A 25,182-nucleotide genomic window follows, 5' to 3' on the forward strand; every position below is an offset into this window, starting at 1 on the left:
GGTGGCTCACGCCTGTAATCCCAGCACCTCGGGAGACTGAGGAGGGTGGATCACGAGGTCAGGAATTCGAGACCAGTCTGGCCAACATGGTGAAACTCCATCTCTACTAAAAATACAAAAATTAGCTGGGTGTGATGGAGGGCGCCTGTAGTCCCAGCTACTCGGGAGGCTGAGGCAGGAGAATTGCTTGAACCCGGGAGGCAGAGGTTGTGGTGAGCCGAGATTGCTCCATTGTACTCCAGCCTGGGCAACAGAGCGAGACTCTGTCTCAGAAAAAACAAAAAAAAAAGTGAGACTATAAAAATCTATTTTGCATCCTTCTTCTTAAAAAATTCTTCCTTTTACAGAAAATAAGTCCCAATCAATACCTGTTACCTGCTATGTATAACACAGCACATCCTTCCCTGGAATCACGGGAAGAAAACAAATGTCTCTGTTCATTCATTCTTTCACTCATTCATCCATTCATTCATTTGCTGTTCACTGAAGTCTAAGCCTGTACAATGTGTAAGGGACGTACAAAACACCACCTGTCAAAGAACTCAAAATCTCATGGCAAGGCTGATGTTCACATGAATTATCAAAGAGAAAGGGCTTTTGAATAACACAGACTTCTGTGGAGATCCTCCCTGTCCTGCTTGCAGCTGTTTATACTCTTGGCAAATTATGTAACCTCTCTGTACTCCTTTAATTGTCTGTAAAATGTAGAAAATCATATCTACCTTTCTGAGCAGCAGTAAAGGTGAGAAGAGATCATACATGTAGAACACATACTTAGGACTGCAGTTGTTCAGTGGCTAATCGGTTGTGGAAGCCCTGGATAAACACTGTGACAACACATGTCTGAGAAGAGGGAGTTGCAACCAGCCTGCCATTCACTCCCTCCCCTTACCGGGGGCCATCCCCAGGGCAAAGAAAAGGAGGCTGAGACCTGGTCTAATCTCCTTGTCAACCAGGATTGTTGGAAGGAAGAAGCCTTGTCTCTGAAGTCCTTAGCAGGACATCCAGCTAGGAATAATCTGTTAGTAAACAGAACCCAAGATTCCTAAGACATGACTTCCCAGAGAATGTCATGTAAGATATACAACTTTCTGGGGGTACAAATTAGAAATGTTTTATATTTTGAATGTTCCCTGCTGTCTGAGAAACCCCAAGACCTCATCTATTCTGGGTCAGAAGGGTAAGCCCAAAGTGGGAAGAAAGGTCCTGTTCTCACAGCTCCAAATTTGTGTTTTGTCTGAGGCTTCAATGGCCTGAGTCTCTGACATGGTTTAGTGAAGCTCAACACTGTGTAAAGTCTCTGGTTTGTGTGAGTCGGAGCTCACAGTCTGACCAAGCATAGCTCAGCGTTCTGCTCATGCAGGAAGGAGTACAGTGAAGGGGAGGCGGAGGCATTCACAGGCAGAAGAAAGAGATGCAGAGATGAGAGAGGGCATGGTGCAATCAGGCAATGGGATGTGTCAATTCTGCAAGAGCATACTGGAAATGGGAGACAAAGGCCCGAGTGCAGGTGCACAGGAAGAGGAGGGGCTGACGGCGAGGTCCAGGCACACCTGGTGAAGTCATCTGGCCTTCACCAGGAAGGCAAGGGGAATCCACTTAAAGGGGAATGAACTAAATCAGGGGACTGCTTGACCAGAACAATGTCCCTTAAGAGGGAATTAGGATGGAGCGATGAGGACAGCGGGCGCCCTTGCGAAGGCTGAGGTTCACATGAGGGACAGAACATGAATGAAGAGCAGAGGCAGGGATGGAGAGGGGAGAACAATCTGAAAACTATCTAAGGATATATAAGACTTTAAAGCAGCTTTAACAAGGGAAATAAAGTGTGGATAGAAATAAGTACGAAAAGAATTATAAGATCTAATATGATCACATTTTTGAGCTTCACATTATGGCATTCAATGCTGTATGTGCCTGAAATATATTAACTCAATAAAACCTTACACTAACCCTTTGAAGTAGGCTCTGTTATTATTCCCATTTGAAAACTGTGGTAAGTGAAGCCCAGCAAGATTACAGAGCTACTGAGTGGCAGGGCCTTGGACTGTAAAGCAAAACTGCCTAGAACAAAGCCATGACCATACCAGATGACTCCATAAACATGGCAGGAAACACAGAAGCCAGGGCGAGATGGCACTCAAAAAGCAATCGCTGTTCAGGGCAGGATGCGATTTCTGGCTAGTTACATAAGGCTGATCAAGAAGAAGTGGGCTCAAGTTTCAGAACACTCTGCATTACATCCAGCGTATCACATATTACATCCCGTTTAACTCACTGAACCACTATTACCATTTGGAAAGATTCTATCTGCATTCCTCCAAAATAATAGTTTGGAAAAGTTCATTTAACGAGCCCTCCTATTTGAACCTGGCCTGCCTTGATTGATAAGACTTCAATATCAAATGTAGCAGCCTTGAGTTTTGACTCTCGTTCAAAAGTGAGTTTCAAAAGTAGATTTTTCTTAAAAATGCAGATGATTTCCTCTTCTTTATTTTACTATTTTTCTATAAATAGTAAAATATACTTTCATTTCTCTGAAAAGTAACACCAAAGCTTCACCTATAAGAATAACTTATTACTGAATTGGTGTCTTTCTCAGGAATTTAATCCAGGGGAAAACACCTTTGTCACTCGAAGGTGTATTCAAGCCAACAGACGATTCTAGCATCGGATGTCAGGAAGGACCAGGGGTGCTCCCGTCATCTTTAAAATCTTCCATTCTGCCCTCCATCTTCTGAATTCACATTTCATGTCCTCTATCTTAGTGGTGAGAGGCTTAGCTTTTATAAACGTGAAAAGTCACTGAAATGGACCTAATATTGAAGGAAAGGAAGTAACATGACATTATTGTCTTTAAGGTAACATAGCAAAGGGTAAAATGTGTCCCTGAGTAATCAAAGCACAGGCACCACAGGCTCCCCGTGCCACCAGCTCCCACACACGCAGATGCTGGAGAGGCATGGCTTTGAACCTGGTACCAAGTAGGGTAGATGACAACTAGTGTGTGTGGTCACCAGGTGTAGAGGCTGCTCCCCGAAACCCTGGGTGCAGTCACCACTGATGGGTTCTACATCCGTCTTAGACCTGCAGGTGGGGGTCCAGCATCAGGCTGGCTGGAGCCTGCAACCACCTACTTAAATCAGAAGTCAAATGTGAGTGCTGGCCACAGTGATATTCTATTGACCATAAATCTGCCTGAGGTTCATCCTGCTGAGGCCTACACAGGCATCTACACTAGAGCATCTAATAATTTCACTAAGTGTTAGAGAACTGACAAAAAATAATAATAAGGCAAACTGTGGGAAACAGGTATACAGTTTTTGTGAGATAAGATGATGTGGGTTACTGGTCAAAGCCCCTACTGGAAATAAGAAGATATTGATATGCCAGGATCCTCTTAACGTGATTTAAGCTAACTCATTTGACTTCACTGGATCCGTATTTTCTCCATTGTATATTAAGTGGAGAGGGGCAGGGCGGCCAGGTGCAGTGGCTCACACCTGTAATCCCAGCACTTGGGGAGGCCAAGGTGGGAGGATCACTTGAGGTCAGGAGTTCAAGACCAGTCTGGCCAACATGGCAAGATCCCATCTCTACCAAAAACATAAAAATTCACCAGGTATGGTGGCGTATGCATGTAATCCCAGCTACCAGGGTGGCTGAGGTGGGAGAATCGCTGGAACCTGGGAGATGGAGGTTGCGGTGAGCTGAAATTGCACCACTGCACTCCAGCCTGGGCGACAGCGAGACTATGCCTAAAAATAAATAAATTAATTAAATTAAAACAAGCAGGAGATGCACTATTTTAAGTGCCTTTTATTCATAAAATTTAAAAAACGTATTTGCAATATAAAAACTGAAGAGGTGTAATAGCTATTCATACTTACGTGTATAATCGGATTAGTCGGGAAGAGTCGGCATGAGGTGTTTAAATTCTCTCACCATCAACATTTCCTTTCACTACTTTTCCAAACTGCTACACTTGAAAGATGTTTGCCAAATAAACCGTATTTCAGCAATTTTCTTTTTCTTCCTTTTTTCCTTTCCTTTCTCTCTGTACCTCTGTCTTTTTTTAACTCAAAGACACATGTAACAATTTTTTTTCTTGTTTCTTTTCTTTTTTTTGAGACGGAGTCTTGCTCTGTCCTGCAGGCTGGAGTGCAGTGGCACGATTTCTACTCACTCCAACCTCCACCTCCCGGGTTCAAGCGATTTTCCTACCTCAGCCTCCTGAGTAGCTGAGATTACAGGTGCACACCACCACGCCCAGCTAGTTTTTGTATTTTTAGTAAAGACAGGGTTTCTCCATGTTGGCCCGGCTGGTCTCGAACTCCTGACCTCAGGTGATCTGCCCAGCTCGTCCTCCCAAAGTGCTGGGATTACAGGCCTGAGCCACTGCGCCCGGCCAACACATGTAACTATTAATGAGGACTTCAGATCAGCCTGAGTTAACCAATGTTATCAAACGAGTTGATACAATTTCTGCCCAAAGCGACTTGACATTTCAATTAAATTGTGCAGCCTTTTCAAAGGAAAAGATATACTTTCCTTTAAGTGCTTTTGAAATATTAAAAATAGCACCTGGATGCCCATGATTAATTTTATGGATCCTCGAATGGGAGCTATGCATACGCACTTTGTCCCTTTGAACCTAAGGATGTTATTGTCCTCGTCTATATCAACTACGTACACAAAGGTTCACCCCTGCATTTCCTGAGGCCTGGACCCCATTTCCACAGCTCGTTACTGCTACTTGCCCTACCTGTTTCACTGGGACTGCAGGGCTCTTTTACCTGTGACTTCCTGCCTCAGTTTACCCCAGGCAGTCTCTAATCACTTGATCCAGACAGATATGCCTCTGGGCCAGCACTGCTCCCATGTAGGTGGCCTCCCTCGGTCCCACGTCCTCCAGTGATAATTCTGAATGGGCCGTTTGCAACATTGATGAACACATTTAGAAACCGGATGTGGTAGTTGAATCAAGTTCGGGTTTTACAACTGTAATGAACGGCTGACACTTGGGCAGGCAGCTTTGCCATAGACAGGTGTGGAACAGGCAGTGAGCCCAAGCTTTGCAGCTGATTCAGTGCAGAGTCTCACATCAAGACCTTTGACTTGTTGGTCATTAAGGAATTTATCAGGGCAATAACTTTTAGTAAAACAGTGAAGAAGAAAGTCTATCAAAAAACAAACAGTAGGCCCGTGTGGTGGAGAAACCACAAGCTAGGTTTCATTCTGATCCAAGGAACAGGTGGGCTTTCCCTATGCACAAAATTGTCTCACTCCCTGGACTGAATTGATGGTCCAGAGGCTTTAAAATACTCACGGACCTAGCTTAAGAATAACTGGGTAAATTTACAAATAATTGACAACTACTCTGTAAGGGCCAGAATTAACCCAAAGAAACACATTTGCTAGTGTGTCCACAGCCATACATTTGCATTCTTAATTCAGCCTATTCTCCTGGGTTCACGCTGAGTCCAACTTTTGACATCGTCCTTGCAGTCATTCATGCAACTCTGTCTATCTACTCTAAAAAGCTGAAGGGCATCTGTCAGCTAATGAGACAATTTCTCCAACAGCTGGTACTCATGTGAGGGTAATTCCGTGGATTTATTCAGTGGTCATGCCATCTAATAGTTTCTCCGAGGACCTGATTCAAAGCCCTCAAAATTGAAGTGTGGGAACAGAAGCATAAGAGTAACAAGACACTCGATGAGACAAATCTCAGAGGCAGGGCAAGGAAACTGAACGGAGTTGACACCAAGGCCGAAGGTGGCTGCCTTGTACCGGACGGGGAATCCGAGGATCAAAGTATCTTGTGGCAAAGTCTCCCTGGGGATAGTGTCTGTGTGCCCTAGAGCATCACATCAGGGGGCCTCTGTCTTTCCAGAAAGGCAGTCAGGTTCTTCATCCTTCAGACACGATCCCCACTGACCTGGGAGAAATGCTTGTCCCAGTATCAGCCCCATGGATGAGGCCTGGGCAGTAAACACACCACGAGGGTTCAAACTGGTCTGGGGTGATCCTCTGTTGAATACACAAGCAGATTGATTGCATTCAACCTCTTTGTCTCGGGAAGGACGTTACTTACACCATCCCAAATTAATAAGAACTATCCTCCAAATAACTCCCATGTGATATGGTTTGGCTGTGTCCCCACCCAAATCTCATTGTGAATTGTAATAATCCCCACATGTTAAGGGCGGGCCCAGTGGAGATAATTGAATCATGGGGGTGGTTTCCCCCATACTGTTCTCATGGTAGTGAATAAGTCTCATGAGATCTGATGGGATTTATTTATTTATTTATTTATTTATTTATTTATTTATTTATTTTGAGACGGAGTCTTGCTCTTGTCACCGAGGCTGGAGTGCAGTGGCACGATCTTGGCACGCTGCAACCTCCGCCTCCGAGGCTCAAGTGATTCTCCTGCCTCAGCCTCCTGAGTACCCGGGATTACAGGCGTGCACCACCATTCCCAGCTAATTTTTGTATTTTTAGTAGAGACGGGATTTTACCATGTTGGCCAGGCTGGTCTCGAACTCCTGACCTCAGGTGATTCACCCATCTCAGCCTCCCAAAGTGCTGGGATTACAGGCATGAGCCACTGCGCCCAGCCCTGATGGTTTTGGGAGTTCCCCTGCACAAGCTCTCTCTTGCCAGCTGTCATGTAAGATGCGTCTTGCTTCCCCTTTGCTTTCTGCCATGATTGTGAGGCTTCTCCAGCCATGTGGAACGGTGAGTCAATTAAACCTCTTTCCTTTATAAATAAGGGAAAATCCTGGGTATGTCTTTATTAGCAGCATGAGAACAGACTAATACACTGGAATATTTGAGAATCTTCATGACGCTTTCAAAACAATATTTTAGTCATCTGCCCTGAAACACCTCCAGGGTCTTCCCATGTGCATTGTGGAAAGCAAGAACTGGTTGCTCTCCTTGATGAAGCTCTCACATATGCAAGGACATTTCAGGCTCAAAGTGTCCACAGTTATTGCCTTGCTCATCCCCTTCACTTTTTTGAAGAGAAAACAGAAGTGATAAAGAAAGCTAGTTTTTATGGAGCCTCTCTAATCACGCCAGGCATTTTCACAAGTTAGCTCATTGGATTCTCACAGCCGCGCAGAGTAGCACCATGGCATTTTGACAGAGGAGGAGGCAAAACCTGGACCACACAGCTGGTGAATGCCCACAGAGGGGTGGCGCCCCCTCATCTGACAACCAGGCCCACCCTTTCTCTGAAGGCCGCAGAGGTTGAGAGAGAAGAGTCCAGGTTTCCAATCCAACCTGGTTCCTGGTCTTTCCTGCTTCTGATAGAGAATATTTAGTTTAAGATTCTCTAAGCTATATCTGAAGACTGTAATACTCTAAGAAGCATCAGTCCCTCATTGCCTTCATAATAAAACTTGTTTTCCCTAAGTTTCAACTTATTGGCTGAAATGAATTTTTTTTTCCCCACAGATTAGATTTGGAATGAATATTTTACAATGTGGAAATTATTCTTCCTGCTGTTCTGCCCTGGCACTCCCAACCTCTCCTTGCCTGTCTATACTGGTTTCTACCTTTTTTTTTTTTTTTTTTTTTTTTTTGAGACGGAGTCTCTCTGTCGCCCAGGCTGGAGTGCAGTGGTGCAATCTCGGCTCACTGCAAGCTCCGCCTCCCGGGTTCATGCCATTCTCCTGCCTCAGCCTCCCGAGCAGCTGGGACTACAGGCGCCCGCCACCACATCCAGCTTTTTTATTTATTTATTTATTTATTTATTTATTTATTTTGTATTTTTAGTAGAGATGGGGTTTCACCACGTTAGCCAGAATGGTCTCGATCTCCTGACCTTGTGATCCGCCTGCCTCGGCCTCCCAAAGTGCTGGGATTACAGGCACGAGCCACTGCGCCTGGACTTGGTTTCTATCTTATCTCACAATGATCACCACCCTCCAACCCAACATATAATTCACGTCCATCCCTTTGTCCTCCGCCCCCACTTGCGTAAGTCCCTGCAAGGCCGGGAGTGAGCTCTCCCTAGAACACTGCCGGGCACACCGTGAGCCCCGAGGAAGGCCTCACTCTGATAACTTACAACAAAGGGAACTTTTGAGGGGAAGTACATGCATATGTTAATGAGTATAGCCAACAGTATCATTCTATATTGTATACATTCTGGGCACCAATTCTGACAAAATAAATCATCGAGAAGTCTGGTCAATTCTGTTGGAGGCTTGCCCTATGGTCCCTGAATATAATTCTTACGTGCCTGTGCTTTTCAGGGCTGCGTCTTTGCTAGAAACAAGTGATTACCAAACTGTTCCACGGAGCCCTGGGGTTTTTCTCGTGACTTCGGGGGCCTCTGAGAGGGACAGCTAGGGCAGCACCTGATTCATCCACTTGGGTATATGTGGTTTCTGCTTCAGAGATCATAGAAGAGTAGAGCTCATGGATTTTTATATGTATGAATATGTTTTTTAAAAGCCAACTATAAATATTCACTCTATAACTCAGCTTAACAAAAGTCTATTTTGCTAATTATTTACTGTTTTTTTTTCTTTTTTTTTTCAAACTGGGTATAATGCTCCTCAAATTGGGAAACTTTCAGATCTCCAAATTACAGTTTCCAAATAACCATACATGCAGCACAGATGTGAACAGTGGGTCCAAAATAAGCACCTTAGATTAAGCCACACGATGAATCACTTCGCTTTCAAAAACAATAAAAGCCAGAGGCCATGTTGCACATGGCACAGAGAAGCAACAGAGTCCATTTCTGTAATAAGCATGACCCCTCACTGAATGCTTGCTATGGGAGATGTGTGCCTCCTGCTGTGCGGGCTGGTTCCCAACAGGCCATGAACCAGCACCGGTTGCTCCATGGCCCAGGGCTTCGAGATCCCTGCCCTAGAGACTATATTAATGAATTAGGAATAACATTAACATTCCTAATAATAGGAGATGATGACTAGGAGGTGGATTAACATGGTCAAGGACCCAAAGCTGGAAGATCCCCCAGGCAGCATTGACTCGTGGTCTATTCCTTCACTGTACTGACGCTCCTAGCTTCGAGAATGATGCATGGGCAGGCCTGTTCCATTAACGTTTTGTCAAGTGACTAAATGAAACATAAGTTCAAGAAGGCACCTTCCACCAGAGATGCTGGCTCAGAGATTAACAAAAGCCACATCAACGGCATTTGGAATCACTCATTTAATTACGGTGATAGATGCCAGCAGCAGCTCCCATTATTACCACATGCTTACCATTGCCAGACACTACTCGAAGCACTCAATTGTCTTAAATGGCTCTAAAAGGTCAATATTAGCGTTATGTCCACTTGGTAGATGAGAAAGCAGAGGTACAGAAAAGCTTTAAAATGTGCCTATGTTTTCACAGCTGTAAGCAATGGAGCAGGATTGGAACGTAGGCAGTTTTACTCTAGAGCTCAGATTTTTAATGCTGAGCTCTGATTTTAAAACTTACAGGACTATGAAGCCATTACCTATAATATAGAAGTTACATTAGATCTGGTTCTTCCCTTAAAAGAGTTTCTGATCTAATCAGGGAGGCATGAAATAATAACATAAAATAAAATAAGATATTACTCTGTACATGTTTCCAGAGGGGGCCCTCAGTGTGGACAGGTGAAGTCAGGGCAGGCTTCCTGGAGGTGGTGGCCTTGCCAGAGCCTTGGAGTAGTTCTGAGCAAGGCTGAAAGCATTTCCTAACAGGGGAACCCAGGAGTCATGGGGTCATGGAAAGGGAGTCTTTTCAGAGGATGCTGACCTAACCAGGCGACAAGGAGAGATGCAAGAAGAAAAGCAGGATACAAAGTGTTCAGCTTTATGGCCAAGAGCAAGCATGCCACACCTGCGACCAGGGGCACCAAGCAACCTGGGGTCAGGATGCATGCTTTCTCTTGCTGTTGGAACGTGAATATCTTGTAGGCAGTTTGTATACTCTCCAGTTGACCCCTAAGGACAGCAAACAATTAACACCCTATTTAAAGGCTAGAATATAGGAAAAGGAGGATCTGAAATCCAGTAGACTTTCCAGATAAGAGAGGAGACCCTGGGAAGGCAGACGGCAAGGGGAGGATTCCAGGTGGGATCAAAGCTGAGCAAATGTCTGATGTCTCTAACAGCCCGACTGGAAGAACAAGTGACCAGTATTTTCCAGTCAATTAGACACAAAGCATGATTGTTGCAGCCTGGTGTGTATTCAATTAGGACTGTAATATGATGAAGCTAAGAACAGATTATTTTGCAGACTTTCTTGTGTCTGTGCCTGAGAGCTTGCTCAGAGGATCCTGGGTGACAGCTCTCTGTGGGGGCCTGTGGCCAGGAGGGGAGACGAGGCCTCATCGTGGCATTTTCAGGGCTGAAATGCCAAAACAAAATGCTCACATTCGTTAGGAACCTCCTATGATCCAGGCAGGTTTGTGGGTACAGCACAAGTCTCTCCATGAATTAGGCAAAATTATCCCCCTTGCACTAATGAAATAAGGGCCTGGGTGCCCGAGTAATTTCCTAAAGTGAAACTAAGATGTAAATACAAGTCTCTCTGTTGCCAAAACCCAGGACCTTTTCATTGTGCCACACTGCCTTCTGTGTGTGCTCTGATGAAGAGCTTTTGTAGGTGTTCTTCAAGATGGAACTGAAAATTGAGTAAGACTTCCCAGAGACCCAGCTGTGGGGGACTATCCGCAGATGGAGACCCTGGGCTAAAGAGGCAAACTCTTATTTTATAAGTAGGGGCTAATTGGCTGGGTCTAAGTCCAGAATCCCCCCAGCTGTTATCCCCAAGCCTAATGCTCAAACAGACACATACAAAAAAAGACAAGTCAACAAGAACGGAGAAAAATCAACCCAGAAAACAAAAAAAGCTGTAATAGTTGGGTAAGGTACATTTATCTATTTTTTTATATATATATATTTATATATATATATATACACACACACATTATACACACACATACATAGATATATACACATATATGTATATATGTATATATCTATATAGATATATATGTATATCTATAGATATATCTATATAGGTATATGTATATATGTATATATAGATATATATGTCTATATCTAGATTCTAGATATGCACATATATATCTATATAGATATATATGTCTATATCTAGAATCTAGATATGCACAGACATATATATCTATGTATATGTCTATATATGTATATATCTATATGTATGTATCTATATATCTACGTATATATCTATATCTATATATCTATGTATGTATGTATAATACTGAAGCTGTCATGTGACTACCCTAGCAAAGATCTTATCCACAAATATAATTATAATTATAAATGCCCAATTATCTGTTGAGATATCAGCTCATGATCATCTTATTGTAGAAACGTTTTCGATTGATTTTCAAGCATTCATAAGCATTGGCTGAGAGACTGCGGTCTGTAAAGCACTGGCAGAATACAAATGCTTGTTGAGTCAACGGGCATTTATTGAGCATGTATTATGTGCTGGTCTTTGAAGACTGAAAATTTAAAAAACAAGGCCCCTGTCCTATAATATAACCTATTGCTTGGAATGGAGTTTTAAAAACCATGCCAAGGAGAAATTGTCATCAATGCCTCCTTCCTCTCTTTGGAGATTTCTGTGACAGGGTAATGAAAATTATAATCACTTTAGATATCAACCTACTTGCCTAAAGAGAAACTAAAGAGAAATTGTCCTGAATTCACATAAACCAAGGTAATGGAAGTGATATGTTTCTCTTTTTTTTTTTTCTCATCAGAAAACTGATTATTTTAAACAAATTGCAGAGAAAGAGAGAGAGAGGATGAGATGAAGGAAATGTATTGACTTCAGAGTTGACTCATGAACTGTCATAGTATAAGAAACTGCATGAAATTCTGTAGTGCAGCCAAATATTAATTGAAACAATTAACTGTAGAAAACACGTGGGCACGACAATATTAGCAGTGCATAATCATTTGTAGTTAAGAGGTCCTTACCGGATTACTGCAGAAAAGCTCTGGAGTTCTAATTACTTGTGGAAGTCCCACAAGGTTACTGCAAAACATGGTAATTAGACGGTTGTAATATAAGGTGTTAGCAGGGGATTGAGGATTTGCTCTAAGCACCTTGGTGTTTTCGTGGCTATTTACTGAGCAGAGTACCAGAATTTAATGGAATTTGGTAGAATTCTCCAATGACTCCTATGAGCACGTAGTTAACAAACGTATCTTAATGTGAGTTCCATGGTTTTCTTGAAAGTGATGAACATCGCCATCTTTAACTACTATAAGGAGAAAATATAACCTAAATGAGGTGGATTATGTGGATTTATTTTTGGGATTTATTGCTCTTGTCTTTCGGTGGCATTTGAGTCAGGTGTATTACACAGCTTTGAGATCTTGGCTTCACTAGGCATAACCCAGCATTAGAAAGGAAGTAGCTTGGTGCTTCTCTGCAACTCCAGCTCAGACTTCTGTGTGACAGTCCTTTTTTACAACAGAATTGGGACATCGCTGCATACGTTTTTCTCAGCTTTGAGGATGCTTCTACAACCCATGCATGCACAATGAAAGAAATATTATACATTTAGTGATGGGCACAATGTACTTATTCAAAAATGTCAGTAAATATAAAAGATTTATCAGGTGAGTGAAGGAGACACGTCTTTTTTTTTTCTTTCTCCTTTTTGCTGATCCCGAATCACTCTCTTACGTTTTTTTTTTGTCTGTGTACCACAAATGTGTACCTAAAAATGAAACTCAGACTATAAACTGCCCTAAGCTCCCAGAGTAGAAAGCATGAAACTAATCTAAAGAAAATATTGGCAGAACTCCCACCCGCGCTTTGATTTTGGCTCAGAAAATCACCTCCTCCTTCTATAGGGTCTGGTTCGCCTCCGACAGCAGAATCAGGGGCAGATTCCATCAGTCCATGGAAATGGGGTTCCTGGAAGTAACACTGGCTTTCTCATCTTGGTCCAGGCAAGGGGCACTTGTCGGGTCACTGACAAAGGCATTCATTAAGAGTCAGTTATTTTCTGCAGGTGCCTTTAGTGAGACAACAGTGAGAAGGGGCACTTGGGAAGACGCGGGGAGTGTATGGAGAGCCATACCCCACTGCTTCTTTGGGGTTCCAAACCTCTAAGAGAATTTCCCTTATGCTTTAGCTGTTGAGAATTGAAAGTCTCCTTTCAAACATTTAAGCAGAGCAAGAGGGGATAGCTGCTTTGCTACAGTTACCTGTTAGTCAAAAGCTTAAAGGAGAAATTCCCTTGCCTGTCATGTGTATTCCACAACGCATGAAAAGACCAGACAAAGCGAAACAAAACAAACCAACCCGCCGCCAGGGGGCAGCTGGGAAACATTTCGAAGGGCTGGGAGAGATGGAAGGTTGGCAAAACCAAGGGGAGGGGGTCCTTGTACTTGGTGAACAGATGACTCTCTATAGTAAGGATTCAGGGCCGGGAGGCGGGCAAGCAGGTACGCCTAAGCTTCTTGTGTTGCTAACCCCCTCCGGGTCTACCCCAGTTAGCAATGTCTACTGGGACCTAGAGGGGCGCAGCTTCGCCTATTTCTCTGACAAGACTGTAACATCTTGGAAGGGAGAAGCTGTGTCACATCTATCTTTGTAAGCCACAGAGCAACGAGCAAAGTGCTGAGTACATATATATACATGCATGCATATATGTGCATATGTACGCACATACACATGTATGTGTATAATCGTATACCTTACATATAAATCTATAATTATGCATCATCTGTATCTGTTAAGTTATACATCATTTTAGTGCTTTTATGGAGGAAGGAAAGTAATTTGCAGGATCAATTTCTATGCAGAAGTGATTCCTGGTACAGATTTTAATGCATTAAATTTTCACAAAGTCTTCAACTCCAGCAATTTAAGTTTTATCAAGGGCCCTGGGTTTTGCTGGCTCTCTTCACCTGTACCTCTTATCATTAAGAGGGAAAAAGAAAAATATCCTTTCCTGTAGCCCCATGGTACACTGCAAACCCCTCTGAGAAGCTGTAATGAGCTGGGGAAGCTGTAGTGGGGAGGAGGGGAAAGGCTCTGTAATCCCTCGGCCTCGGGGCTGACATGGGGCACATCAGGACTCCCCTGGCGAGGCTCTGTCACTTGACAAACTTGTGTAGTTGGAGCCATAAATTCTCCTTGTACTCCGTTGCTCCCCACCCACATTCACCCTGCACCTCTCACCTACAAGAAGTGACAGTCAGAGTACTTTAAAAAACAACAAAAACTCAACAGATTTTATCCTTTGTAAAAGCCTACCATTTCCACATTTGTCTAAAATGCTGATTTTATAGTCCTCTGTGTTTGCATTGCGTTTGTTATGAGAACTAACTCCTTTATATAGGAATAGCCCAGTTGAAGCAATACCACTTGACTGGATATTTTCAATTCATAGGATATTAATGGATATAGCACACATAGGACATATATATATATATATATATACACACACACACACACACACACACATATATAAATTAGTACAAAATTGTTTTGCCTCCTAACTTGCAAGGCCTGTAAACCCATTCTTTTTTCTTTTTACATAGATATGTTGAGATTTTTACATCTTGGCAAAATATAGGCTGTAATTTAATTGACTTAGCAACACTACCAAATAAAACACTTATTCCCAAGGGAAATTTCTTTCCACACTTTCTGCTGGAACTTCTAATTGACATCTATTTCTGAATAATTGTTGAAACTAATGTGTTGGAAGGGCTGGTGATCTCAAATAGCTATAAATGAGGCATCATGGCATGTTTTTTTCTTCCTGACAAATCCATAAGTGAATAAATATTTTAAGTCAGTATTGGCCAGGTGTGGTGGCTCATACTTGTAATCCCAGCACTTGGGGAGGCCGAGGCGGGTGGATCACTTGAGATCAGGAGGTTGAGACCGGCCTGACCAACATGGTGAAAACCCGTCTCTACTAAAAGTACAAAAGTAGACAGGCATGGTGGCACATGCCTGTAATCCCAGCTACTAGGGAGGCTGAGGCAGGAGAATTGCTTGAACCCAGGAGGCAGAGGTTGCAGTGAGCCGAGATCACACCACTGCACTCCAGCCTGGGCAACAAGTGTGAAACTCTTGTCTCAAAAAAAAAAAAAAAAGTATTAAAAATTCTGTCCACGGAATTGATTTAATAGATGAATCAATAAGTCTGGTATGACCATCATAGAGCAAGCAGATAAGGCTCTAGGTACAACAAATATATAATTGTATTAGTCATCGAAAAGGAATGCAATATATTTCACTAGTCAGAGAAATAGCAATGTGGAATAGAAAGAAAATATGTAAAAACTGATGGACTTTTATTTGAAATTTGGTTGAACATTAACTGTGGTTCTCCCTAAATATCATATACATTTTCTTTCACTTCATTGGTGATGAGCCATTAATATCATAAATAATACATACTGGTAGAATGAGTAAAAAAAAGTTCAGTAGAACCAATTAACAAACAATGTAAAACATGTAGATTTAGAATACCTGTCATTTACTCAGGTCTACCTTTTTGCCCAAATTTCATAATTCTCCTATCTTGGTCAACATCTACAAGGACAAGATGAATAAATCTCTCTCTGTGTGTAGAACATCGTCTGTTTGGTTTCCTCCAAGTAGAAAGCCAGGAATGATTCTTCCTTCACATTTCCTATCAATCATAATTCTATCAGCCAGCTGAATAGCTTGGTACACTCAGCGCCTATCAAATATTAAAGCCTTCCCATTCTTGAAATTCACATAATAGCTTGGTTTGTTATCTTGCACTAAATCTGTACTACATTACACATTTATGATTACCTGTAAATTTCACACTGATATTTAAGTTGTAAAATATGTTGATGCCTTTAAAAGTGTGTGAGAACATAAAATTACACAATCATAAAGTAAGTTAAAAATTACGGCAGCATAAATACTAAAGTCCAAATTCTTGTCTTACATAATCCAAGTGATAATTGTTGTGCTCTTACTCTGTGGCTGAGGACACTGTGACAAGCATGGAGAATTCAGCTGTGAGCCAGATTACACGATCCCTGCCTTCTGGGAGATGATACCAAATAAACTCACCAATGAATAAGTATCGCAAATTATTACGTGGGGTATAAAGAAAACAAAGAGGAAGCTGTGACCAGGTACCAGGCTTATGGTATGGGACTTTTCAAAGCCAAGCCTTGAAGGATGAGAAGGAGCTATGCACACAGCAGGTGAAGGAGAAGGGGCAGTGAACTGGCTGGAGAAGAGCAGGTGCAAAGGCCCTGCACGGGAAGGTGGTTCAGCATCTGCAGGATTAGCGAGGAGGCCTGTACAACTGCCACAGGGCAGGCAAGGGAAGGAGAGATATGAAAGGAACCTGCGGAACATTATGGAGAATATTATGAAGAATTTGTATTTTTCCTAAGGAATCCGTTTTGGGACAGGGAACTGATTTAATTTACATTTTTGAAAAACCCTCTCAGGAGGCTGAGGTGGGTGGATCACGAGGTCAAGAGATCGAGACCATCCTGGCCAACGTGGTGAAACCCTGTCTCTACTAAAAATACAAAAACTAGCTGGGTGTGATAGCACGTGCCTGTAGTCCCAGCTACTCGAGAGGCTGAGGCAGGAGAATTGCTTGAACTCAGGGCAGAGGCTGCAGTGAGCCGAGATCGCGCCACTGCACTCTAGCCTGGTGACAGAGCGAGACTCTGTCTCAAACAAACAAAAAAACAAAACAAAACAAACAAAAAACTCGCTCAAGGTTGGGTGCAGCAGCTCATGCCAGTAATCCCAGCACTTTGGGAGGCTGAGGCTGGCTAATGACCTGAGCCCAAAAGTTCAAGACCAGCTGAGGCAATATGGGGAAACCCCGTCTGCATAAAAATATAACAATTAGCTGGGTGCATTGGTGCGCACCTGTAGTCCCAGATACTCAGGAGGCTGAGGTGGGAGGACTGCTCAAGCCTGGAAGGTCAAGGCTGCAGTGAGCTATGATCATGCCACTATATTCCAGCCTGGGTAACACAGCAAGACCCCGTCTCAAACAAACAAACAAAAAACATGCTGGCTTTTGTGTCGCAAATGGATTGTAGTATATCCAAGAAAGGAAGTAGAGAGATCATTTAGTAGACTTTTACGCAAGTTCAGTAAACAGATACTAGAGGCTTGGACTAGAGTGGTGGCCCAAAGACAGAGGGTAATGAAAATATTCCAGGTACTTTGGGAGCAGGAATCAACAGAAATTGGTGATGGGTTATCAGGGGCATCAGGAAGGGAGGGACAGAGAATGGCATCAGTATGGGCAGTGGTAACGCTTGTGTGAGGAACAGTGTCAGAGGAACAGGTGTAAAGGGTGTGTGGGTTATGGTGCGGTTAGAATCAAGACCGACTTGGAAACAAGCTAAGTTTGAGATGCCTTTGAGAATCCAAGTGGAGTTTTCAAGGAGTCAGTTTACCATGAAATTCAGAAGTTCTGCAGAGAGTTCAGGAGATAAGACATAAATTTAGAAGTCATGAGTAGGTAAATGATATTAAAGTAATGCTGATGAAGAGTTGCATGATAGTTGTCTGGGAGTGAGAAGTCTGGTTGGGGAGGAGAAGCTAATAAAGGAGACAGAAGGAGCCACCACCGAGGGAGAAGGAACACAGAGAGGGCATGGAGATCTGGAAGCCCATAGTAAGCACGCAGTGAGGATTAGTGTTACTATCATTTGGCATTAAATTGTCTTATCCAGTGGAATATCCCAGTGGGATGGAGGGGAAAAAAGCCAGGTTGGAAAGAGAGAAGAAGGAATGGGAGGCAAGTCAGTGGGGACAACATATGGCAACCACTCTTAGAAGCAGTACGAAGAAGGATAAAAAATTCTGCGGAGGGGGATAAGAGGTTTATGGGTGGACTTTTGTTTGCTGTTCAGTTATTGACTGGCTGAGCATGGGAGAGGAGAGCATGTTTGTAGGATGTAGGAGATGAAGCAGGGAGGGAGGGCCCATGAAACCTAGAGTGCAGATGACTCAAGAGCCAACCCCGAGTGGGGGAGCCCAAGCCCAATGGGGGCGGGGGGGCTCGGCTTGGAGCAAGGCCAATTCTCTCCTGGTAATGGGAACACAAGTGCCAGAGAAGGATGCAAATGGCAAGGAGGTTGAGACTGGGTTGTGAGGCAATGAGAAAGGTCCCTTCTGATAGTTTCTACTTTATCATTTTACATTTTAAAAAGATGTGTGCAGTGCAGCCATGGAGTAAGGGAGGGAGAGCAGAGGAGAGGTTAGGAAAGGTCAGAGGGTAAGCTATGAAGAGCTGCATAGGAGCACGGGAAATCCAGCAGCCAGAGAAGAGGAGGACGATCCCAGACGGTGCCCAGTGTGTATCTGCGGAGGAATTTAAAGTAAAATGGGTGAGCCCAGTTGTGTAATTATCTCCAGCTCTGCAAAGTGGACATTCATGTGGGGTTCAGATTGGCCACTGGAATGGAGGCAGGATTTCTAGGGGAGAGAAAGCCTCAACAGCTTACAGGGAAGGCCTGGCAGACCCAATGTTGCATGACAAGGAGGAAGAGTAGGCGGGTGAGACAAATGACCTGAAGCTCACAGCAGGCCATGCTCAGGAGGAACGTGCTGATCTCAAAGAGAAAAGTGTGGGCTGAGAGGACACCAGCTTGACTCCGAGGGCCTAGGAGATGTGGAGAGGGAGGGGCAAGCAGAGGAAGGGGTTTCCTTGAGAGACGACCTGGTTCCGGAGAAGTTCCTGCAGCAAAAACACGCGGGGCATCCAGGGAAGTGCACGGGCCATGGCGGAGGCTGTCCGAGGGGTGGGGACACGAGGGCCATGAGGTGGGTGCTTGTGGGAGGCTGCGGTGCGTGATTAGCAGCAGGTGAGAGTAGAGAAGACAGCGGAATTGAAGACAACTGGGAGCTAAGACTGGAGGGTCCCTGCGGCCTCTCAGAGGGATGGGGGCTGAGCCCTCCCATGGTCAGGTCACAGGCCCTGCAGGTGCTGGGGGCCAACTCACATCCCTTTTCTTCCCTCTCCCTTAGGGTCTCACCACTTCCGTGCAAAGATGACAAATATTGTGTAAACGAATATTCAATATCCCTAACATTCACAATATTCCTCATATCTAGCTCACATACTTTAGATCCTCAAATTCCTATTTTAAACAAAAATGCAACTGTCGTGGTGCCAGATGATGGCATTTAGCCTCTTTAGTGTGTTACAGAATCTTTTCCTGAGACACTTAGGAAAGCACAAACTTTTTCACCCAAACAATGTTGAAGATGGCAGAGCCTGGTTTGAGAATCCCCACTCAGGGGGAGAAATAGTCCCAGGGTGCCAGTATCCAGAGAGCTGACCTACCAGGGAAAGTGCTTATGTTTCTTTCAGGATAGGCAGTATGGCAAACAAAGTCCCAAACACATCAATATGTCATTGATCACTTGACCCAACTTAAATTTTTTATTCCTTTGTTCATTGATAACATTGCATACCCATAGCGTGTGACAGTTTTCTCAGGGGCTGAGGATGCAGCCACAGACAAGCCCAGCTTCTTGCCAGTAGGGGAGGTGCATGACAGAAAGCGTTTTGATTCTTTTTATCATCCATACTCTCTGCAATGATTCTCACAGACAACGCACTCTCCCAACATACTGCACCCACGTGACAGTGGGAGCAGCCTCCCTACACTATCTCCATAACTCTGCTTGGTGACCTCTCAGATGACAGTAAACATCATCACTCCCAGATAGTTCTGAAATTGTCATGTTGGAAAGTACTTGATAACTGTTAACACAAAAGGGACTCAGTAATATCGAAGGGTTATGGATATATATTCCTATTATGTGAAAAATACATATCTTGCATTCCTAGCAGACAGTAGTAGGTTATTGCTGGTACTTTCATATGTTGGGGGGAAAAACATGTACTTAAAACAGTGCCTCGACTACGGCAAGCAGAATTGAAATTATGATGATGATAATGATGAAAATAACATTACTTTCATTATGAAACAGTGCAAAATGGATAGTAGACAAACACTATCCGTAATTCAATGTGGATAATTCAACGTGAAGACACTGGAAGTAAAACAATACTTTGAGGATCCAGAACTTCCTCATTTCACATTCTGTTAATCAGGGTTGACGTGTGCTGTTGGCTGGCTGTCTTCATGTCAGCCAGATCATCAAGAATGTCTTATCAAGCAGGTGAGTGGGAAACAGACTCTCCCCTACAGGCCAGCACAAGTGGCTACTGCCCTCTGTTGCCAATAGACAGTGGGCAATAGGTGTTGGAAAAAACGCCAAGGATATTAAAATGTGAGCCTTGAAAAAGGACTCATGAGCAATTGACAATTAGCAATCAGCTGGGTTGAAATTGATCAATGAGGGATTCAAAGTAATAAAAAATAATGAGTCCGATTAAAGGCAAAGCAGCAAAAAAAAGCTAGTAGCTTCTACTTAGAACACATAGTTCATGAAAATTACTATAACTAAACATTGTATTTAAGAACACTTTCTCGGCCAGACGCGGTGGCTCATGCCTGTAACTCCAGCACTTTGGGAGGCCAAGGCAGGCAGATTACTTGATGTCAGGAGTTCGAGATCACCGTGGCCAAAACGGTGAAACCCTGTCTCTGCTACGAGTACAAAAATCAGCCAGGCATGGTCGTGCACACCCGTAATCCCAGCTATTTGGAAGGCTGAGGAGGGAGAATCGCTTGAACCTGGGAGGTGGAGGCTGCAGTGAGCTGAGATCACACCACTGCACTCCAGCCAGGGTGACAGAGTGAAACCTTGTCTCGAAAAAAAAAAAAAAAAAAAAAAAAAAAACACTTTCTCTCAGCTTTTAATTTTTATTGCTGTTTCCCAAATTATTCTTTCTTTAGAACTGTTTATCACATGACAAGACCAAAAGATTTTTCTTTCCTTTTCTTCTTTCCTTCTCTCTCTCTCTCCCCCTACCTCCTCTTTTTTCTTTCTTGCTGTCTTTATGTCTTTCTTTTTTTTAAATAGAGATTCATGGCCTGTGTGGGCTAGTGAAATACCCACTGGGTTAGGGGTTGAAAGATATGGAGGCAAGTCCCAGCAACCTCACTTCAAACTCTGAGTCATAAGATAATAACATGAACCTAGAATAGCTAAGATAACTTTGAAAAGGAAGAACAAAGTTAAAGGATAAATGCTTCATGATTTCAACACTAAATGTAAATCTACAGAAATCAAGACAGTACGCTATTGGCATACAGATACCCAGATAGATCAGTGACACAGAGCGCAGAGAACAGAAATAGACCCTCCAGTACATGGCCAACTGACTTTCAACAAAGGTGCAAGATCAGTTCAGTAGCAAAAGGATACTCTCTTCAGTGGATGCTGTTTGAAAAAAATAAATACCAATAATATAAAAGAAACTTTGATTCCTAACTTGTATCATACACAAAAGATAATTCAAAATAGATCAGATATCTTAATATAAAACATAAAGCTTCTAGAAGAAAACATAGGGGAAAACCTTCATGACATTTTGTTAGGCAAAGATTTCTTAGGTATGCTACATAAAGCACAATCCATAAAAGAACAAGCTGGCAAATTGGATTTAACTGAAATTAAAAACTTCTGCTCTTTGAAAGACACTGTTAAGAAAATGAAATAATAAGCCACACACAGAGAGAAAACATTTGCAAATCATACATCTGATAAAATACTTGCATGTAGAATATATAAAGAATTCTTACATTTTTATAGTAAGAATGCAACTCATATTTTAAAATATGAGCAACCACTGCACTCCAGCCTGAACGACAGAGACTCCGTGTCACCATAAAAATAATAATAAAATATGTGCAAAAGATTTTAACAGGCACTTCACCAAAGAAAGTAAGAGAATGGCAAATAAACACATAAAAAGATAGTCAGGCCAGGCGCAGTGGCTTATGCCTGTAATCCCAGCACTTTGGGAGGCTGAGGTGGGTGGATCACCTGAGGTCAGGTGTTCAAGACCAGCCTGACCAACATGGCAAAATCCCATCTCTACTAAAAATACAAAAATTAGCTGGGCATGGTGGCGTGTGCCTGTAATCCCAGCTACTCGGGGGGCTGAGGCAAGAGAATCGCTTGAACCCGGGATGCAGAGGTTGCAGTTTGCTGAGATCGCACCATTGCACTCCAGCCTGGGCAATAGAGCAAAACTCCATCTCTCTCTCTCTCTCTCTCTCTCTCTCTCTCTCTCTCTGTGTATATATATATACACACACACACACACACACACACACACACACACATCTCTCTCTCTGTATATATATGTATATATATATACAGTTAAATATATATATATATATTTAACATCATTAGTCATTAGGAAATGCAACATAATTCCATAGTGAGACACCACTACACACTTAATGGAATGTGAAAACTTAAAAGATTGATGATACCAAGTGTTGAGTAGGAACTGGAGCAACTAGAACTCTCGTACATTCTGGGTGGGCATGTAAAATGGAAATGGTACAACCACCACGGAAAGTAGTTTGGCAGTTCCTTAAAAAGAAACTCTAAAATATGATTTAGTCACCCCACTTCTAGGTATTTACACAAGATAAAAAGAAACATATCTACATGTACAAAGACTTGCATAAAATTTCATAGATGCTTGTTGGTAATGCCTGGCAACTGGAAACAAGCCCAGCATTCATCAGCAGTGGAAAGGATAAGCAAATTGTGGTTGTATACATAAAATATACACAATTCAGCAGTAGAAAGGAGTAAACTTTTCTTATACACAACAATGATAAATTTCAAAATAATTTTGCTGTATCAAAGAAATCCTACAAAAAGAGAGTACATACTCTACGGTAGCATTTATATACAATTCTAGAAAATGTAAACAAATAAATAATTGCTTGGCAGGGACACATGGGAGGGGTCAATGGCTATGTTCCTTACATTGATTGTTTTACTGGCATATACGTGTGTAAAACTTATCAAATGGTACATTTTAAATATGGGCCTCTTGTATGTCAATAAAGCTGTTAAAAACAATATAAACCAACATTAGCCATTTAATTAACACAGGCCCACTTAAAGATGATAGATCAGGAAGTCAAAGCTCAGAGAAATAAAAGGACTGGCCTGAAGTCACAAAGCTGAAGAGACTTGAAATTCAGTCTCAGGTCTGTCTGAGTATACAACCTGTCTCTTCCGTCCTATACCACACAAACACATCTTAACCTCTTTTGTTTTGAAAATCTCTCATTTCAGGCCGGGCGCAGTGGCTCATGCCTGTAATCCTAGCACTTTGGGAGGCCGAGGCAGGTGGATCACGAGGCCAGGAGTTCAAGACCAGCCTGGCCAAGATGGTGAAACCCCGTCTCTACTAAAAATACACAAATTAGCCAGGCGTGGTGGTGGGCACCTGTAGTCCCAGCTACTCAGGAGGCTGAGGCAGGAGAATAGCTTGAACTCCAGAGGCAGAGGTTGCAGTGAGCTGAGATTGCACCACTGCATTCCAGCCTGGCGACAGAGTGAGACTGTTTAAAAAAAAAAAAAACAAAATTAAAACAAGAGATAATCTCTCATTTCAAAGACATCAAAATTCCTTCAAGTTGTGTAATCAGGATGGCAAGCATTTTAATGTATGAGTTCATGGCACGCCTGCATCTTCCCCCTCAGTAACTAGGATCTAGGGGCTTCCTAGGTCAGTTGGTAGAATGCATTGGATTGGAAAGGTTGGCCAGTCACTGTAAATTTAAAGGTGTTTTTCTGAATGCTTCAGAAAGTACCAAAAAGCCATTAAAAATGAAAGACTAATGGAACAATTATGTCCCATTTTGACTTGTAAAAACCAGGATTCTTTGTGTCTTCAGTATTTCTAGTATTTCTAAGATGTTAATCATTCCAATAAAGCTGAATGGCATGACAGATTTTCGGCACCTATCAGAGTGGCAGCCATTTCCAACTTCTTTTTTATTCTATATACTGTCAATGTCACTAACATAGATTACATTTCAATTACCTTTTTCTATTCACTGACTCACATACATTTCACTTAATTGCTAGATCCTTCCACGCAGTTTTCCCATTGTCTGGCTTCCACAACCTTATTTCTGTCACAGGTTGTACAGCCAATGGTCACCACATTGCAGAGTATATATCTGGTGTTTCAAGTGGGTTTTAGGGTTCCCCAGATTTAGAAATATGTACACCTGAACATAAAACTGGGTTCAGTTTTCTGAAGTCTGACCAATGAGCTGACATACTGATAGCTCACTGAGGTAAAAGAAGCTTTGTGATACAACTGAAGGATGTTTATACTTTCAGTGAACGAGGCATAGCAGCCTAAATGCAACCGATTGAACCACAAATAATACTTCTCAATCAAATGGCCTTTTATCTTTCTTGTCTCTAAATATACCCTTTTACCACACAGCTCGTTCTTAAAAAAAAAAAAAATCCGGTGGTCACAATGTCAATTGCTAACTTTATTTTCTATTTATATCGTCCACTTTATGAATACCCTTTTCCTCAATTTAATTAGTTAGTGTCACTCACACTTTAACTGGGAACATTGTAAGACTGAGCTGAATTTGAAAACAATGCCACGATGTCAGACTGAGTCACATCAATTTTCTAACTGCCCACCACAGCCACAGCGCAACTCAACGACACCCACACGGGTATCTGCGTCCTGGAATTGGACTTTTACATTTTTATTTTAATGAAAATGATGTATTACATATAAGTAAAACAACACCTTTAAAGATGGAAAAGACCCTTTTTTTCAAGCCTCAATTTCAGTTCTAGTGGGACAGCCAGGTGGGAGGGGGTCCCTGGAGAAACTCCAACCAGCCTGCCCTCTGCAGTGGGGAGGAGCCTGGCCCCTCCTCCTCCTGTGTGGAACCCGAGATTCAGGCTGAGCGCCGGAAGCCGTCTAGCAGGGACTCTGGCCTAGCGAGAGTCCCTGTTTCCCCCTTTTCTTCCTTTTCACCTAATAAAACCCTGTCTTACCCACCCTTTAAATTGTCTTGCAAGCCTGAATTTTTGTGGTCGTGGGACACAGAACCCCGTCCATGGCTGAACTAAGGAAAAGTCCTGCAACATCAGAACCTTCAGTTCCGCATAATTAAAGCTCAATGCAAAAGAATCATGAGCATAAGTCCTCTAAGAGCATAAATAATCAAGTGTTGCTGA

General features: G+C 42.7%; 1 protein-coding gene across 6 annotated transcripts in view, besides 2 other annotated features; it reads right to left on the reverse strand.

Annotated features, from left to right (window-relative positions):
* The window catches only part of PRKN (parkin RBR E3 ubiquitin protein ligase), a 1,380,350-nt gene that overhangs the window by 388,228 nt on the left and 966,940 nt on the right, over positions 1-25,182 (reverse strand). The gene's annotated exons all lie outside the window — the stretch shown is intronic.
* Positions 6,656-6,725: an enhancer, noted in NCBI's record as "active region_25414". NCBI's record gives its function as "activates an Ori minimal core promoter by ATAC-STARR-seq in GM12878 lymphoblastoid cells {active_cell/tissue: GM12878}" and the evidence as "EXISTENCE:reporter gene assay evidence [ECO:0000049][PMID:35858748]".
* Positions 8,029-8,078: an enhancer, noted in NCBI's record as "active region_25415". NCBI's record gives its function as "activates an Ori minimal core promoter by ATAC-STARR-seq in GM12878 lymphoblastoid cells {active_cell/tissue: GM12878}" and the evidence as "EXISTENCE:reporter gene assay evidence [ECO:0000049][PMID:35858748]".

This window comes from Homo sapiens, chromosome 6 (genome assembly GCF_000001405.40).
Source record: "Homo sapiens chromosome 6, GRCh38.p14 Primary Assembly".
NCBI lineage: Eukaryota > Metazoa > Chordata > Mammalia > Primates > Hominidae > Homo > Homo sapiens.